Below are 18279 nucleotides of genomic sequence, written 5' to 3' on the forward strand. Positions count from 1 at the left end.
AAGAAAAAAATGAAAACTCTCCTAGAAAGTAGAACAAAAATACAAAGGAGAGAAAAGAAAAAGAATAAAAATACAAGGGAGAGAAAAGAAAAAAAAAAAAATTAGGGGGTCAATCCAGGAGTTACCACAGCCAGCTAACAGGAGTTCCGGAGGGAAAGAACAGAGAAAATGGAGTGAAGAAATTTATCAAAGAAGACGGGTGCGGTGGCTCATGCCTGTAATCCCAGCACTTTGAGAGGACGAGACAGGTGGGTCACATAGGCCAGGAGGTTGAGACCAGCCTGGCCAACATAGCAAAATCCCTTTTCTACTAAAAATACAAAAAAAAAAATTAGCCAGGCATGGTGGCATGTGCCTGTAGTCTCAGCTACTGGGGAGGCTGAGGCAGGAAAGTCACTTGAACCTGGGAGGTGGAGGTTGTAGTGAACCAAGATTGCACCACTGGACTCCAGCCTGGGCGACAGAACAAGACTCTGTCTCAAAAAAAAGAAAGAAAAAGAAATTTATCAAAGAAAAGAATGTAAGAAAATTTCTCAGAACAAAGGGACTTGAATGTTCATATTGAAAAGTACTAAAAATAGGTGGGCAAAATCCCACAATAAGGAACATTATTGTAAAACTTCAGATCACTGGGAAGGAGGAGAAGATCCTGGAAGCTTTCAGAGAGAAGCTTTCACAGGTTTCACACAAAGGATCAAGAATAAAAATGATTTTAGACTTCTCAAAACAACTCTGCATTCTTGAAAACAATGGAGCACTAACTTCAAAACAGTGATGGAAAATTCTTTCCAACTCTGAATTCTACACTGAGCCAAATTCTCAATAAAGGGTGCAGGTAGAATATAAAGGCATTTTCAGGCATGCAAATTTTTAAATACCTCTATCTCATTCGCCGGATAAACTAATGAGAGACAAGACATAGGATCCACCCAACAGGAGAGCGGCAAAGGGAATTGTAGGCTGATGGTGAATGCCCAGATGAGAGACATGCACTCAGCCAAGACAGCCAGGCCCTGCTAGGGCAGGCTGGAAGCCTCCGAGGAAACTTTTTCACCAAGAAAATTGATTTGATTAGTTACCTACACTATATTTGAACACATTGAAAAGTATTTTACAGCTTTGTCTGAAATTTGCAAAAGAATTGGTAAGAGGTACTTAGAAAACTAAGCAAACAAAGAAAATATAATCATAGCACGTTACATGACTCAGGTGAATCGTATTTAGATATTCAAAGTCAGAATAATGTAAGCACATAATATTGATTTAAATTGTGAGACAACAATATTAAGGGTATAGGGAGAGGTCAGGTGTGTGTGTGTGTGTATTGCGGGGGGAAGCAGTGAGAGCTAAATCCTAGTCTTTCATAATAGGAAGTTAAAAGCTACCATCTAAAACAGACACATCAAGAAGTAACTGTAGGGCCAGGCATGAAGGCTCACACGTGTAATCCAAACACTTTGGGAGGCCAAGGTAGGCAGATCGCTAGAGCCCAGGAGTTCGAGACCAGCCTGGGCAACAGGGCAAAACCCTGTCTCTACAAAAAATACAAATATTAGCCAGGCGCAGTGGCACATGCCTGTAGTCCAGCTACTCAGGAAGCTGAGGTGAGAGAATCGCTTGAGCCTGGGAGGCGGAGGTTGCAGTGAGATATGATCACACCACAGCACCCCAGCCTGGGGGCAACAGAGTGAGACTCTGTCTTAAAAAAAAAAAAAAAAGAAAAGAAAAGAAGAAAAAAATAACTGTATACCCTTCATTTTTTTCAGAAATATGGGGGAGGAGGAGCCAGAAGAAGAAACAGCTCGAAGAATTGACTATTGTTGCCTCTGGCAAATGGGATGAGGAAATGGGAAGTTATGAGACAAGGAAATGATGAGTTTCATTACAAGCCTAGAAGTAATTAAGCGTTTATGTTACTCATTTGTACTATTTTCACTTAAGACAATGAAAATTTATAATTTCTAAAGAGCAGAAAAGAGCTCGGAAAGGTTACCTGCTTGGTAACCAATGGCTGTATGATATGTTGCCTGACTGTTAAATCCAGAAACTGTCAAAAGATGGGTTTTGTTTAGGTTGAGCCAGACTTTCTCCAGAAGGAGTAACGCACCAAAGGATCTGTCTGACTCCCACCCCCATGACCACCTCTATTTCTGCTCATCTCCAGCTTGACCGCTGGACCTTCAGGCAGGTCTTCCCTTGTCCCACAGCCAAGTGTTGCCCCTCTCCATTCATCTCTTCTACTATTATCATCAGCTGAGTCAGAAATAGAAGACTCAGTGGACACAAAAAAAGACTAGCTGCCATTCTGAGCTAGAGGCTGCTTCAGAGGAAGACAGCTGACTTCACTGACCACCCACTCAGTCCCAGGCACTGGACTCTGGGCACCTTTCCATATTATTATCTTAATTGAGCATCCCAACTGATATGGCCAGGCTTTATGTCCCCACTCAAATCTCATCCTGAATTATAATCCCCATAATCCCCTCGTGTCAAGGGAGAGACCAGGTGGAGGTGATTGGATTATGGGGGCGGTTCCCATGCTGTTCTCATGATAGAGTGAGATCATGAGATCTCATGGTTTTACAAGTGTTTGGTAGTTCCTCCTGCATTTATTCTCCTTCCTGCCACCTTGTGAAGAAGGTACCTTGCTTCCCCTTTGCCTTCCACCATGATTATAAGTTTCCTGAGGCCTCCCCAGCCATGTGGAACTGTGAGTCAATTAAGCCTCTTTCTTTATCAATTACCCAGTCTCAGGCAGTTCTTTACAGCAGTATGAAAATGGGCGAATACCCTGGCCCTAAGAGGTAGACTTTATTACATCCATTTCAAAGAAAGACCAAGAGACAGAGCCTCAGGGCAGTTTGCCAAGTCTTACAGCTAGGTGGGGGCTGCATTGGGACGTTAACCTGATTATTCTGATGGACACGAGACCAAGGGTCTTGCTTGGTTGGTGATTAAGCAACAGCACTGGTGAAGAACAGACACACACCCTGGTTCACAGGAGCTGCTCACCCCAGTCCAGCTGGTCTGAGGGCATGTGGCTCCCAAGTTCAGGTCTGATGCAATAAGTTGGGGAGGGAAAAGGACAATTGCAGTGGCCAAGGAAAGGGAGTGAAGGTGCCTACCCATGAGCAGCCGCCGTTTCACCCGTTTATCCCCATCCACCACTGATGTGGTGTTGCTCTCTGTCACCTCCAGGACAGTGTCCTCTCGCTCTACAAGAGAAGCAAAAGAGCACGGTTCTCAGACTGAATGAGTTAGATTGCTCATCCCCATACAACTGTGTTTGCTGAAATCCCAGACATAAGAGGAATGAAAGATATGTGACTCTGTTCACGCAATAAAAATGTGTTGTAATGAGGCTCTGTGGGAGACACAGCCCGTTAAAGGGCCACAGATCCTTAGCAAACATTAAACATGGAAAAGATTTTGGAGGTATATTGCACTGACCAAAGAGACACTAGGGAATGCAAGCTTCAGTCCCCTGAGTCGAGGAGAAAAAGAGCCTTGGGCCTGGAAACCTCTAAAATGGAGCTAGTGAAGGACACACCGTGAAGGGCAAGGCAGGCATCCCGCCAGAAATATACGGCCCTGGCTCCTGCTGGCCAGAAGTGCCGCATCATTATAAACAGCTCTAACTTCGTGCTGCCCTGGCCTCCTGGGAGGTGTTGTGCCAGTCTCTGGAATACCAGCGTTAGGAGCAGCCTAGTCCAGGAGAGGAGGAAGGGCTTCCCAAGGTCACACAGGGAGAGAGGGGCCTTCCCCACAGGCCTAGACCACTCCCACTGTAGCATGCGAAGCAGCACAGGGCCTGCTGGGGGGGCAAATGCACAGGAAACAGCCTGCATCTGTGCTAAACACCATTAAGGGGTAGGGGTAGGGACAGGCAGGCTGGTGCAGACCCTCACTCAGTGTTGGGGTTGCCACTCACCAAGGCAGCTCCTCCCATCTGTGTGCATCTTGTACTGTGGATGGCAGCTGCACTCTGGGCCATCGGCTGTATCGTCACAGGAGTGCTGGCACCCACCGTTCCCATGGTTACAGGTCACTGACAGCAAAATGAATCAATACATAAAGCACTGAGATTTCCACAAACACAGGGCTGTGTTTGCTCCAGAGAAATTCTGATTTTCATTCTGCAAGTATTTGAGCACCTAGTGCATGCCAGGCATGGTGCACGAAAGACATAACTCCAAGTCAGACCCTGTGGTGTCTGTGTATGCAGATAGTTACAATACAAATTGTAGAAATGCTGAAACATGGGTTTAAACAAAGTCATACAGGAAGAGGGAGATGGGAGAGTTGGGGGAGAGACTTTTATTATATAAGGGAGATTATACCAAGAGATTCTAGACTACTGCTTTGTTCTATCTAGAGAAGTTTACCTATTAATACAGCTGTACTGGGGCTTTGGGAAATGCTATAGCACTTTATGCTGGAATAAAACAGACAATATTTAATTTGTACATATATGTCAGAATTTCTCTCATCAGATTCAATCTAGATTAGTTAGAAGGAAGGATAATCACAGGATGATTCTGCACACAATTAACGTGACAGTAACTGGTAATTATCAAGACTATATATGAATGTATTGATGATAGGCCAAAAAGAAAAAAAGCCAACTACAAAACTATCTATTCATCAAACTGCTAACCGTGGTTACCTCTGGCAAGGGAAACGGGAGGCGGGAAACTGCATGTTTTCTTTATATGCTTTGGAGTGTTTGCATTTTACATAGGCCCTTTGTAATTTTTCTAATTCAAAAGAACTAATTACATATTTGTGTTGTCCTGTGATTATAGCTGTGTAAAAATTGTGTATGCATATGAACAACAACTAAATAGGAATATGGAAAAATTGAAACAGCTGGTTATGTGGTGAGATTCTAGGTCTTAGTTTTTTTCTTTGTTAATTCCTCAAACGTTAAATATGTTAATGTTAAAAATGTTATAATGTTAAAAATGTTAATAATGTTAATGTTAAAATATGTTAATGTTAAAATTAAAAAAAGTTAATAACAGAACAATATTATTTGAGCAGTGATATCTTAAAGACATTTAAAATCTTTAAAAACAAGCTTACAGGTGCCCACCCCCCCGCCCCCTTCAGCAACTGTTCCCTGAAAGACTATGAAATGTTGAGGGTCTCGCCCCGCAGGTGAGTCTTGGAGGGTCTGGGTCTTCCTTCCGAAGATCTGGAGGTGGGAAAATGGTCTCCACTCTGCTAGCTCACTGGAAGCCCTCAGGGACAGCCTGACTTCGAGGGGCCCTAAGAGCATGTCAGAACCTGTTGCTTGAGTGTGATGGTGGCACCAGCCTTGGCTTGGACAGCTTTGGGGTGGCAGTCTGCTTTGTGAGGGAGACAATGGAGAGAAGTCCCTCACCAGTGAAACTGTCCCCTCATCTCCTACTCACCATAAACCACCATCCCCACCAAATGGCAGGGGTCTTCTGTCCATGGCTTTGGGAAGGTTCCTAAAGGGAACTCCTCAGTGCTTCCCCTGGCATAAATCGTGGTTTAGGAACACCATGAATTGCCAGTGGTTTCCTGTTCCCAGGTGGAGTTTTGTTACTACAATCGTGGTGCAGGAGCTGCGGCCCGATGGTGTAGGCCACCCATTTACCCACTCATTAAACACAAGTGTACTGAGCATATCCCATAGCAGGTACCAGGGGAGGACTGAGAGGAAAAATGAGGCAAGGTCCCTGACTTGGAGGGGGCTCATACCTGGGGAGACAGACACATCAACACACAAGTCAACCCAGAGCTATACAGCTGAGGAAAGTGCTGTGGGAGCCAAAGTACAAGATGGCTGCCCTGTCTGAAGCACCCAGGAGGCTTCTGATAGCAGAGGATGGTAGCATGGGATTAAGAGCACAGCTTTAGAGCTCAACAGACCAGGGTTTGAACACTCATTTGCCACTCACTCCCTGTGTGACCTTGTTGCTTCACCTTCTGCACAACTTCGACAACTGAAAATGAGTGTAATAATACTGAGCTCACAGTGCAGTGCTTGTAAGAATTAAATGGGATATGGCACATCTTGAGACAAGCCTTTGCACAAAATAAATTCCCCACCAAAAGGTAGCTATTATGCTTATCCTTATTAGAAGTTAAACAGAATATTGAAGGTTGAGTGAGAGTCCACCACGCCAGGAAGGCAGGAGGGCTTGGGAAAGGCCTGGAGGCATCAAAGGATTTGGGCTGTTCTCCAAAGGCAAGGGGAGTAGTGTCTGCGGAAAGGAGGCAGATGAGGTTTATAGGGGAAGCAGGACCTGGTGGCAAAGAGCTGTGATTGCCAGATGAGGACATTTGGTTTTATTCTGTGGGAACAGGGAGAACTGCCCCCCAACATTCACACTCCTTACTCCTGAATTTCATTTCCTCCTGATGAGTTCCTTTTTAAAATATCATTTCCCTTCCCTAAGGGAGACCACCCTTCTGCAGTGAACAAGTACTTGGTAGAGGTCGGTATCCCGTGCTAACTGCCTTCCCTGCTGCTGCAGCCGTGCCATGAGGTGGTGCTTCTGAGCTGGGCCACAGAAGGCAGCCTGTGGAATACGACGGTTCCCATGGCAGGTGTGCACTGGCCCATACTTACAGATGCAGTCTCTCTGGTTCTTGGCCAGCTCAAAACCAGGCCTGCACTCACAGGCGACGCTGCCCCTTGGGGCCTCCTTGCAGATGTGACTACAGCCGTGATCCTTATTCATGCAGCTCAGGCCCTCTGAAAAACAGCAGTGTGCGACAGGTGACTAGGCTGTGGTCAGAATCCTGAGCCCTGGGAGAGCGGCAAAGGGCTAAGGGGTGGCCCACAGATCTGTCTGCTTAGGTCTCCATCAGCCCCACATTTGAAAAGTATATGTCATTAAAGTCAACCTAGGCCAATTAATAGACATGAAAAATTTATTCTGTCACCCAAGAGATATGATGTCTCAACTCTCCTAACGAGTTGGGAGCCTTCCCAATACACTGGAGCTCTCTATTGCATGCAGGATCAGAGCCTGCTGACCCCAGGAACTGGTACTCACGCTCTTATCTCTGCCATGTCTTTACCCAAGAGCTGATCAAGAATGTAAAGAGAAAAGGAGAATCCTCCTAAGAAAATGTTCAGATAGAATGATCAAGATTCTCAATTTTTTCACATACTCTTGAAGATAATTTTCAAAACATTTCAACGCCCCTCTCTGCCCCCACCAATCCCACCCTTCTGAGGTGAGTGTGACTGTGGCATTTTGGCATCCTCGTACGGGCCACATGCCCCGGGATCTGTCTTCTGTGACCACCCTCAGCCACTCCCTTGATCCCTCCCTCAGGGCATAAGCCTCTGACAGCATCACACAGCAACAGCAACAAGAACAGAGGGAGGGAGAGAAGAGACAGAGAGAGAGAGAAGAGAGAGAGAGAGAAGGAGGGAGTGTGCTCGTGTGTGGTAGCTGCTGTACAATTCTTTTGAGGTATACAGTAAATTCTGATTAGGCTTAACCTTGTAGTATGATGGTGGGAAGGGGAACAGCTGCTTCTGTTCTTGCAGGGCTCGGCACACATCTAAATGAGGGGGCACAGCAAGGTAACTGCCCGTGTGGTTTACCAGCATTCTGCCTCATCTCAAAACTAATTCTTTGAGATCCTGCTGCCTACCAGCATCCTGAAGGAATTCTTTTCATACCCTAGAATACTTTCAAGACATCTGCTCAGTTTATACTTTATTATTAATTACCTGTTCCTATGTTGCTTCTTTGCATTCGTGCAATGTAACTCTAAAACATCTCTGAGAGTAGGGACTTGGTTGTCATTGGCTCTCTATCAATGAGACACTCTAATACTAGTAGGGCACTGTTTTCAACACGAGTACAAAAAGGTTGCTTTCACTTCTCTAGAATCCAACACCCTTCTATATTGTGCCCCTAAAACCTTAGCCAACAGGTTCTAGTGAAGTCAAAGTTCTCTCTCCAGCTCCCACTCCAGAGCTGTCAAACTGTGCTTAAACGGAACAATTGTTTTAATACAAACAGATGTCATTCCTATTCCAGAAGACAGTGCAAGGGTTAATATATCCCATACTTTCTGGAGTCTCTCTTAAAACCCTCTTGCTCTTTTGCCTGACAGTTATGAGCTGCCTGCACTCCAGCACTCAGTCTGCTGGTTGCTGGGATTCATTCATCCATGCCAAGGGTGGCTGTCAATTAACACAGAAAGAGACTTGCACTGGATTGGTGGAAAGCTTTCTCTTGCTCTGGCTGGTAATTCCGAAGATGTGATTTGCACCCCAGTACTGAGATGGCGCGGGAGGTGACAGCTGCCTCTAGAAGCAGTGTCCTGTCTGAGAAGGCCCAGAAAGCGTTGTGTTTGTCCTTGGGTCAGCCGAGCATGGGAAGTAACTAGTGCTCGGGGGTAAATATAATACTGCCCAAGAAATGGGGGCAGGAACACCTGGAAAGTACACTCCCAAACAGGCCAGCTGCTGCTGCTTTTTCACTCTGTTTACAAGACTGTTAAGACATTTGCAAAGTGACCTTTACTGCCTCAGAGTAATTCACCTACACAAGAAATATTTCGTAAGAATGCCTGTATGCCAGATGCCATTGTGATACACAGAGAACCTACCACCTAATGTCCTACCACATCAAGCTACACCTGAAGTTACCAAGACATAATAGAGACTTAAATGGCTCTGGAAACGCTGACAGCTTTTCAAGAAGTGACCTCAAAGCCTTTGTAGCACTCTGACTTAATGCAAGACCACTGCTGGGGTGAGCAGATTAATCTGTTCCAAACTAGGCAGCCCAGCAAATGGCCCTAGCTCTTTCCAAAATTGGTCTGGTTGTCACGTCCAGGATGGTTCGTTCACCAGAAGGGAAACAGCTCAGAAACATTGGAAATCCCCCATTCTGGTGCACCCCAAGATCAGGGCTCCACTGAAGATTATTTCTGGAAACCAAACAAAAATATGCCTTGTGAATTGGGAGGAAAACATGACATAAAACGGGTAACAGGTCCTGCTGAAAGCACAGCCTCCACTTTGCCACCCTGACACCTTCCCTGTTGCCCTGAAAAGGCATCAGTACACCATCTAAATATTCTCAGAACACACAAAACAAAAGAGGAGTGCTCATTCTGAGAGCCTGAGCACCCATGAATAGGAACAAAGGCGGGCCGGGGGTGATGTGCTTCTCTCCAGCCTACCCTCATTATATGGGTGAAAACACACAGTCTCTTTATCACAGCTTTGGAGTCTCTAAGGATAAAAAAAAATAAAATAAAAAATCAGTATCTTGAGCTTTCCCTCAGAGTCAATGATTATGATGCCCTATATTAAAGAACATTTGGTAAATAATTATTAAAAACAACAGCAATAGAAAATACTAGCTTCCTGTGTTACCTTCTTTTAATCACTTTGAAGGTATCCACTGTGGGTTTTGTTTTGTTTTGGTTTGTTTTGTTTGTTTTGTTTTATTGAGGTGGAGTCTCACTCTGTCGCCCAGGCTGGAGTGCAGTGGCACGATGTCAGCTCACTGCAAGCTCCACCTCCCAGGTTCACGCCATTCTCCTGCCTCAGCCTCCTGAGTAGCTGGGACTAGAGGCGCCCACCACCACGCCCGGCTAATTTTTTGTATTTTTAGTAGAGATGGGGTTTCACCGCGTTAGCCAGGATGGTCTCGATCTCCTGACCTCGTGATCTGCCTGCCTCGGCCTCCCAAAGTGCTGGGATTACAGGTGTGAGCCACCACGTCTGGCACCACTGTGGGTTTTTAAGCCTACAGTTTCATAGAGTTTAATGTGCATATCAGAGAGGAAATCCTAGAAGAAAACTTTTTACAGGCTGTTCTATTTGAAGAATCAAAACCCTAGGATGCAAAGGTTCTCCGTTACCAATTGCTATAATCTGTTGGCTGACACTCCCATGAATTTGCCAAGCAATCAGGTTGAAACACAACAGAAAATCACAGAGAGCACTTCCAGACCACAACGCAAATTCTTAGATTTTGGTTTTAGTTCCAGACAAAAATGTTCACTTCAAATACTCTTTAGGGGATCCAAGAATGTCTGAATTGTAGAAAATTTAGAAAACACAGTTTGCAGAAAGGAACTGCATTTGTATTTGCTTCTGGTATGAGGAGCCTGTGTCTCTAATCAGTCCGGGGGCTTGCAGGAGGGGAGAGTGGGGCTGAGCCAGGGCTCTGGAAGTACAGGGATAAGAGGTGATCTTAATCGCTACCAGCTGCTTTGTAACTGGGTGGGACCCAGACCGTGAGGGCTCAAGCGATGGCTTTAACCTGCAGTTCCCACATCCCTCCCCAGCCACCTGCAGAGGAAGCCAAAGTGACTTCCCAGGAAGCAGCTTTGAGCAATCAAAAGGAGAGATGCCCTGAGATTCGGATCACTCTGTGCCACTGGCCTCCTAATTCATTCCCATCTCGAATTTGGCCTACATTGGACAAGAGTGCAGGGCACACCAATGACCCCAGAGAACCTGGCAGGAAAATGAAACCCAACTGCTACTTTATCAAGGGCCACACCTGGCACAAGATAGGAAATCTGCCTGATCAAAGCCAGTATGTGTGACTTCCCCGCCCCAAACGCTGAGAATGAGCAGGCTCTGGGTGATGATAGCCATCAAACCCATTGGCCCCTGGGGGTTCCTCTGACAATTTTTCTTGGTACCCAAACAGGTATTCTAGTTAAGTATAAGGTGTGAGCTGCCATCCTTGGAAAATGAGACAAAAATCATCTTCCATGAAGAAACCCTTGAAAAGTTACCAAGACCAGGATTAAAACAATCTATAAATTTGTGATTAAATAGTAGAAGAAATTAAAATGACCTCATTCTTAAGTAATGGGAAAGAATAAGCAGCACATGGCCAAAGGGGTTAATAGGCTAGTATTTAGGGCACTTCCCCTAAAAATAGGCAGATGCAACTCCAAGAGGAACACAGCCACCAAAATGTGACTCTTTAGCTTAAGAAAGAGCAGGGAAGAGTTAAAAGGATGACATTCAGTTAAAAATAACTGATTGGCCACATGTACTTAATGCCCCTTCCTCTCAAGAATCTACTAAGTAACAGAGGAATGAAAAAAGGTATAAACTCAAAGCAAAGAGAATGAAGAGAAGGACATCAGAAGAGAAGAGTTTCCGGCAAATTTACAGAGGAATGATAAATGGTGACGTAGGCGAAGGAAACCACAGCACGGAAAGTCCAGGGAGGGAGCCCTTCTGCCCCTCGGAGCTCAAAAATGCAAAACATGGAAGGGCCGGATCTAGCTTGGGGCTGAAAACAGGGCACTTCATTGAAAGTCTGCATGGGAAGGATCCAGCCTCCTCCCTACCCACCCAGAGCAGGGAGCAGGCTCATACTGGTGCTGTGGTTTTCAGCACCTTTTTGAAAAACTTGGCAGATCATCCACTATATTGCTCCTGAGACATCTAGTCATGTTTGAAATGTATTCTATGTAAAGATTAGAATCAGAAAATGTGAGAGTTTGAAAGGACCTCAGAGCTCACCCAGTCCAGTGCAACTATTTTGCCAGGTGAGGAAGTTGAAGTTCAAATAACTTGCCCACGGTTACCCGGCAGTGGAGTCTGGACTCGTCCTCAGGCCTCCAGACTTTCTATACCCTGTGCTTCCCCTCTAGAGTCAGTGTGTGTGTGCGCGTGCAAGGGAGAGGGTCTCAGATGTGGCTCTGCCCCCATCCACAGCTGGGCAGAGGTACCTTCCGAGCGGTGAATGCAGGTGTGCTGATTGTCACTCAGGAAAAACCCCTCCTTGCAGCAGCACTCATAGCTCCCCATGACGTTGACACAGGTATGCTGGCAGCCGCCATTGTTCTCCAGGCACTCGTCCACATCTGGAAGGAGAGAGGGATTAGCCTTTGCTTTGGTGACTGTTTCAATGCCCCACCTCACCCAGCAGCTCAGGGGCCCTGCTAAGCAAAGATGAGGTTCCTCTTCACGTCCCTGCACCACAGAAGCTTTCAGAATCAAAGCCGGTAAGGTCCACAGACAACTACCCAGTCCTTACGGGTCTGGGGCTCACTTGGCCAGGACCGCCACATGGACACAAGGTCATCAGCTCAGTAAATATTTGTTGAACATCTTCTCTTTCCACAGCATGGTGCTAGAGGAGACAGCAAAATATAGATAAGGAAGATAAAATTCCTTCCCTTGGCCAGGTGTGGCGGCTCAAGCCTGTAATCCCAGCACTTTGGGAGGCTGAGGCAGGCGGATCACCTGAGGTCAGGAATTCAAGACCAGCCTGGCCAACATGGTGAAACCCCGTCTCTATTAAAAACACAAAAATCAGCTAGGCATGGTGGCACATGCCTGTAATCCCAGCTACTGAGGCAGGAAAATCACTTGGATTTGGGAGGTGGAGGTTGCAGCGAGCCGAGATCATGCCACTGCACTCCAGCCTGGGCCTCAGAGCGAGACGCCATCTAAAAAAAAAAAAAAAAAAAAAATCCTTCTCTCTAGGAGCATGCCCTTCAGCAAGAGACAAATATACAAATGATTCTGATATAAGGTATAAAAGGTGGTACCAAGGAAAGAAATCACATCTGGTCATGGGGTATCGGGATGAATTAAGGATAAGCTAATAAAAGATGGGCCCTTAGGATTGTCCAATTATAAATCAGGAAAGAAGGGATTATAGGTGGAAGAGAGCGTAAGCAGTAGCACAAAGGCTGGGAGGCATGAAGAACATTCAGATACCAGTGGGTCAGCCCATGTGGTTGGAGCATAGGGCACATGAGGGAGGTTACAGGAGATACAGCTGGGAGGACAGACTGGGGTCACACTGTGGGATCCTGAATACCAGGCAATGAAGTGCCTACTTAATTTGGGAAGCAGCTGGGAACCACTAGAGTAGGGGAGAGAGTCTGGCCCTTCACTTTGAGAAATACAAGGCAGCAGCTGAGGGCAGGACAGAGGGAGGGGAAGAATGGGCAGTCTGGGAGTCCAGCTTCACACATGCATCTGCAACAGCCACAGCTAGCGCTAGTGGCGACAGCACTGCGGCTGCCAGGGATGCTGGGAACCAAGCCAGAGAAGAAGACTGGGCGGACAAGGTGCCTGCAGGGCTGGGAGCCTTGTGGGCTATGGGGTGGGCATCATTAGAGGATGGAAAGTTGACACCAAGGCCTTCTGGAAGGGACACATGGAAGGCCAGTGCTGGGTACAGAAATGGGAATGGAGATATGGTTGCCCCTGACCCCCAAGGCAGGCAGGTGATCTGTCTGAAATGCTGAAATGTAGGGCTAGGTCCAGTAGGCAGTGGCAAACCTCAGTGGGGAGCTTGGAAGAGAATCTGGTGGTGTAAGCACAGCTTTGGAAATCATTTATTTGTAGTTGCCTGATAAAGTGGTGGAGCTTGATGAGAGAGCCAAAGGCGGGAGTGTGGGAAGGGAGCAGAAAGGAGACAGCCAGAGGTAGAATCCCGGACCCTGCCAGGGGCAGGGAGGAGGCAGAGGAGATGGCAGGAGTCCCAAGAGCCTCCAGGGAAGGAGCCAGCAGAGAGGTAGGGAGGGAGGAAGCCTTCTGCCACACACTGTCAGGGCGGCCTTAGGGGACCTTCCTCCCACTCTGCCTGTGATACCCTGTGCACAGCTGTATTGCTACACTTACTGACTTGCAGCCTCAAAATCCTTTACTCATCTACCTCTACTAGATTGCAAACTCCTTGAGGACAGAGATTTTTGTTTTAATTAGCACAGCCCTGGAATACAGCAGGCGCTCATTAACTATTCAATGCATGAACAAACAAGCAGGAGAGGATAGCATCACCCGAGCCAGAGAAGAGAAACTTCCAGAGAAGTTTCAGACAACAAAGGCTCAAAGAGAAGGCTGATATAAAAAATCAATTTATTTTCTCCAGTCTAATTTCTCATGTGCTAATCACTAGCTCCTGGGCATATCCATAATAATCATAATAATAAAACCTCACATTTAAATATCTGTTATCTGGTTTCAAGCTTCAGATCTTATAGTCCTCTGTCCTCCCACACTACTGAGCAGATGTCTGACTAAACTGATGGGACTCAAGCCATCCCCTGAAGCCTAACAAACTTGCCCTTGTCTATGCCAAAGGGTGAAGGAAGCACATTCCAGAGGATGAGCCGTGCTGGAACACACCTGGCCTAGGTGTTCCACAGCAAGACTCAAGGTGAGCAGGAGAGGTCTGTCTCCCTGAACACCAACTCCTGGATTGGCTGCGAGTAAAGATGTGCTCCCCTCTGAGCTACCACACCCCCACCCCACGTTTAACCCCCAATTTCTTTTCCCCAAGGCAATCAGAAATGTGTCATTCAGCTAGCTGATGCTCTGTGGTTGGATAAATACAAAAGTGTGTGTCCACGTACGCAAATATCTATCACTAAGCTGGTGAGCTTCTCCAGACCATAAAACAGTGGTTCTCAACCCTGGCTATGTGTCAGAACCCTGAGGCCTGGATGCCACCTCCAGAGATACTGACAGAGCCAGTCTTGGATGAAGTCTAGGTGATGGTTTTTTTTAAGCTTCTCAGGTGATTCCAGTGTGCGGCCAGAGTTAAGAACAACTGCTACAAAGCCAAACAGCTATGATGAGCTCCCAGACACTCCAAAAATAGAAACTGAAGGCAGATGGGGTGAGCTGTATAGAAGAGCTGCCTTTCGTTTTTCAGACTTGCAGGCATTCAGGATCTTGAAGTGCTCTGTGTTTAGTGCCAAAGCTTAGTGGTGTTTGTACCTTGTGTCTTCTAGCTAATATATTTGTGGCTAATGTGTGGTTAGGAGGCTGAGGAGATTGAAGGGGTCATCCCAGAGAACTCAGGAGAAGTTAGGGCTCTGAGCTTCTTTTTTGCCACAAACTGGGTCAGCCCTTTCAAATCTGAATGTTGGGGAAGTGTCTATGTGTGCCGGTCCTACTCTTCCAAATGTACTTCATTTTCTTGTGCCTTCCTTTTAAAGAGTCCTTACCCCATTCAGAAATACTCAGTAGATGCTCAAGGTCTCTCTGCAAGGCAGATCCTTGCTACTGAGTCCACAAAGAGATCCCACAGAGGGGAAATGGAGATACTCTGTGCTGATAATATCTGTGTTATCGGCAAAGGCAAGAAAAGACTCTGCCTTCAGGGTTTCCAAGCAGGCCAATACTCAGAGCCGCCCACCAGCCCTGGCCCAGGTTCCTAGCCCCTGGATGGTTCTTGCTCTTAGGAACCTTATACTACCCCCCGCCACCCCGGGCTGTGGATTACAGCACAACAGTAATGATGAAGTCTGCCATCAGATATGCATCCTCCAAATGCCCTCATTGGCAAGTCAAAGGGAAATTTCCCCCTGAAAATGGAAAAAAAAAAGAGCAACCCATGTGGTATGCCTCCCAACAAATCACACACTGAAAGTGATTCCATTTGTCTGAGTTTTTAATTAATACTGATTCCTGCTCTCAGGATTGTCTCTCAAATATGCCTTTTTGTGGTACTGACTGCCTAGAAGATTACTGGTTCCCTCACCTGCAATCAAGTCTTACTGACAGCTGCAGGCTTGGAAAGCCACGTGATGTGTCACCCAAAGCCTGATCTCTCACACAGGGCACCAACAGGAAATAACAGAGTCCATCAGGATGGAGCTCCAGGAGACACTGAAGTGGGATAAAGGTCATATGAGGGTTAAGTCCCAAATGGAAATAACCTCTCCTCCACTCCAGAGCCCCAACACACAACACACAAGTTCTGTCTGGACTTTTTCTAGTTCCTTTTATGCAGATCTCAAAGCATTTAATCAAAGGGCCATTCCTACCACACCATAAGGGGGCGTCTGAATGGCTGTCCCCACAGAGCCAGGGCCTGGCTCCGCTGCTCCTTAGTTGGCCAAGTAGACCTCAGCAGGTTATCCATATGAAGGGTCGTGAGTGTCAAAGGACGCTGATGCCATATTTTCCCATGATGTTCTCCTGTACAACTAATACCAGCCTTAAAAAGCAAACCACAAATACCTATCTGCCAGGAGTGCTGCATCCTCTAAGACTATCCAACACTCAACCCCATGCAGCTGCTAGCTGCTTCTAAGTTCTGTTTTATTCCTGGCATAAGGAATGAATGTAAACAACACTCTTTGTAGTCTCTAACTCAGGGGCTAAAACTCCAACAGATGTTTCTGTTTTGTGGAATACTAGGAAGATGTTCATGGAAGATTTCTGTTTTAGTTTCTCTCTTTTTCAAGAAAAAAAGGGGGGTCTAGCTGGCTGTAACCCCAGCACACATTTGGAGTCTTCAGGACAAGGAGTTTTTCCAAATTCTAAAACAGAAACACTTACAGCATTGAAAAAAAAAATGGTTATAAGTCAGGACTCTCAACACAAGACCAAAGATCTTAAAAGGTGACAAGCCAATGCTAGAAAGTCAATAAATAGTAATGACGATGTCACCCATCTCCTTGGACTAACAGAAGATTTATGTTATGAATGATCACATAAAACTGAAACATTTTACCTCATTTTCTATCACGGAGTCTGACTTCCAAGGGAGCAGAAAACACAAGGCTCTGAGCCCGTTTTTGTCTTCATGAGGAGGTCTTCACCAAGGGAAAGAAAGGGGTGGGAGAGTGAAGGAGAATTGCCATTTCCAAATGCCTTCCTTACCAAGACAATTATGACCGTCATGAGCCAACATGAAGCCATCAAAACAAGTGCAACGATAATTGCCTGGAATATTCAAACAGTCATGGACACAGCCTCCATTGAGCTCATTTCCACATTCATCGATGTCTGAGGAATAAAACAGAAGTAAACCAGACAGGTGCTATTTCTTTGATGTGAAAACATATGCACTTACCTCCAGCCATTCCACTTCTAGGAATCTACCTGAAAATACATCCCTAACAATAGGAAAACAAATACGCACAAGGTTATTCACTGCAGTGTTGTTTCTAATGACAAAATACTGTAAACAACCTAAGTTTCCATAGATAGAAAAATAGTTTAATAAATTATGGTACCTCTACTCCATGGACTACTATGCAGCTATTTTAAAAAAAAGAGAGAATGAGGAAGATCTCTGTGAACTGATTTGGAGTAATTTCTAGGATATACTATTAAATGAAAAAATCAAAATTAAAAGAGTATCTGTAATACGTTATCTTCATGTAAGAAATAAGAAGATATAAAAACACACACAAAATTTCAGGATACGTTTTTGTAGAACTTGACAAGCTTATTGTAAAATTTATATGGAAATGCAAAAGACTCAGAAGAGCAAAAACAATTTTGAAAAAGGAGAACAAATTTGGGGGACTTTAACTCACTATAAACCTACAGTTATCAAGACAGCATGGTACAGGCATAAAGACAGAGGTATAGATCAATGGAACAGAACTGAGAGTCCAGAAATAAATCTTTCTACTTAGGGCCACTTGATTTTAAACAAAAGTGCTAAGGTAATCCATTGGGAGAAATGCTTGTCTTTTCAACAAATGGCACTGGTTTAATTGGATATCCATATTCAAAAAGATGACTTTAGATCCTTATCTCATCCCATACACAAAAATCAACTCAAAATGGATCAGGGATCCAAATGTAAGCATTAACAATATAAAGCTTTTCAGAAAAAATATGTGATAAACATCTTTAAGATATTGGGATGGCTAGGCATGATCTTTGGGTGCACTTTGGGAGCCTGAGCCAGGAGGATCAATTGAGCCCAGGAGTTGCTGACCTGGGCAACATAGTGAGACCCCCATCTCTACAAAAAATAAACAAAATTAGCCAGATGTGGTGGTGCACGCCTATAGTCCCAGCTGCTTGGGAGGCTGAGGCAGGAGGATTGCCTGAGCCCAACATTGAGACCGCAGTGAGCCAAGATGACACCACTGCATTCCAGCCTGGGTGACAGAGCAAGACCCTATCTCAAAAAAAAAAAAAGGAGAAAAAGAGAAAAATCTTTAAGACATTGGATGAGGTTAAAATTTCTTTGATATAATACCAAATACACAATCACAATTTTTAAAATTAATAAACTGGAGTTTATCAAAATTAAGAACTTTTGCTCTTCAAACGGTATCATTAAGAAAATGAAGACAAGCCACAGATTGGTAGAAAATATTTGCAAATCACACACCTTATAAAGAACTGAAAAAAAACTCTTACAACTCAATAAGAAGATAAACAGCCTAATTTTAAAATGGGCGAAATATTCGAATAGACATTTCAGCTACAATGATATGCAAATGACCAACAAGCACATGAAAAAATGCTCAACGCCATTAGTTATTAGGGATATGCAAATTAAAACCACAATGAGATGC

At 45.2% G+C, this 18279-nt stretch overlaps 1 protein-coding gene and 1 long non-coding RNA gene across 34 annotated transcripts in view, besides 3 other annotated features; one reads left to right on the forward strand and one right to left on the reverse strand.

Annotated features, from left to right (window-relative positions):
• NRIP3-DT (NRIP3 divergent transcript) overlaps positions 1 to 5026 on the forward strand; it is a 63704-nt gene extending 58678 nt beyond the window's left edge. Inside the window, exon 3 of the long non-coding RNA NR_183663.1 lies at positions 1767 to 5026. This is a non-coding gene — a long non-coding RNA (NRIP3 divergent transcript). The remainder of the gene's footprint in view (positions 1 to 1766) is intronic.
• Positions 1 to 18279, reverse strand: part of SCUBE2 (signal peptide, CUB domain and EGF like domain containing 2) — a 72124-nt gene that overhangs the window by 43290 nt on the left and 10555 nt on the right. For all 33 annotated transcript variants that reach the window (XM_047427364.1, XM_047427365.1, XM_005253036.5 and 30 more), the window contains exons 3-7: positions 16619 to 16744; positions 11716 to 11850; positions 6605 to 6730; positions 3932 to 4048; positions 3126 to 3215 (exon numbers count right to left, since the gene is read on the reverse strand). In XM_047427364.1, coding sequence (XP_047283320.1) covers positions 3126 to 3215; positions 3932 to 4048; positions 6605 to 6730; positions 11716 to 11850; positions 16619 to 16744 — 594 coding nt within the window. The remainder of the gene's footprint in view (positions 1 to 3125; positions 3216 to 3931; positions 4049 to 6604; positions 6731 to 11715; positions 11851 to 16618; positions 16745 to 18279) is intronic.
• Positions 3337 to 3838: an enhancer, noted in NCBI's record as "H3K4me1 hESC enhancer chr11:9087649-9088150 (GRCh37/hg19 assembly coordinates)". NCBI's record gives its function as "activates a minimal SCP1, AML or CMV promoter by ChIP-STARR-seq in naive H9 embryonic stem cells {active_cell/tissue: H9 hESC(naive)}" and the evidence as "EXISTENCE:reporter gene assay evidence [ECO:0000049][PMID:30033119]".
• Positions 3839 to 4338: an enhancer, noted in NCBI's record as "H3K4me1 hESC enhancer chr11:9088151-9088650 (GRCh37/hg19 assembly coordinates)". NCBI's record gives its function as "activates a minimal SCP1, AML or CMV promoter by ChIP-STARR-seq in naive H9 embryonic stem cells {active_cell/tissue: H9 hESC(naive)}" and the evidence as "EXISTENCE:reporter gene assay evidence [ECO:0000049][PMID:30033119]".
• Positions 8655 to 8744: an enhancer, noted in NCBI's record as "active region_4400". NCBI's record gives its function as "activates an Ori minimal core promoter by ATAC-STARR-seq in GM12878 lymphoblastoid cells {active_cell/tissue: GM12878}" and the evidence as "EXISTENCE:reporter gene assay evidence [ECO:0000049][PMID:35858748]".

This window comes from Homo sapiens, chromosome 11 (genome assembly GCF_000001405.40).
Source record: "Homo sapiens chromosome 11, GRCh38.p14 Primary Assembly".
NCBI lineage: Eukaryota > Metazoa > Chordata > Mammalia > Primates > Hominidae > Homo > Homo sapiens.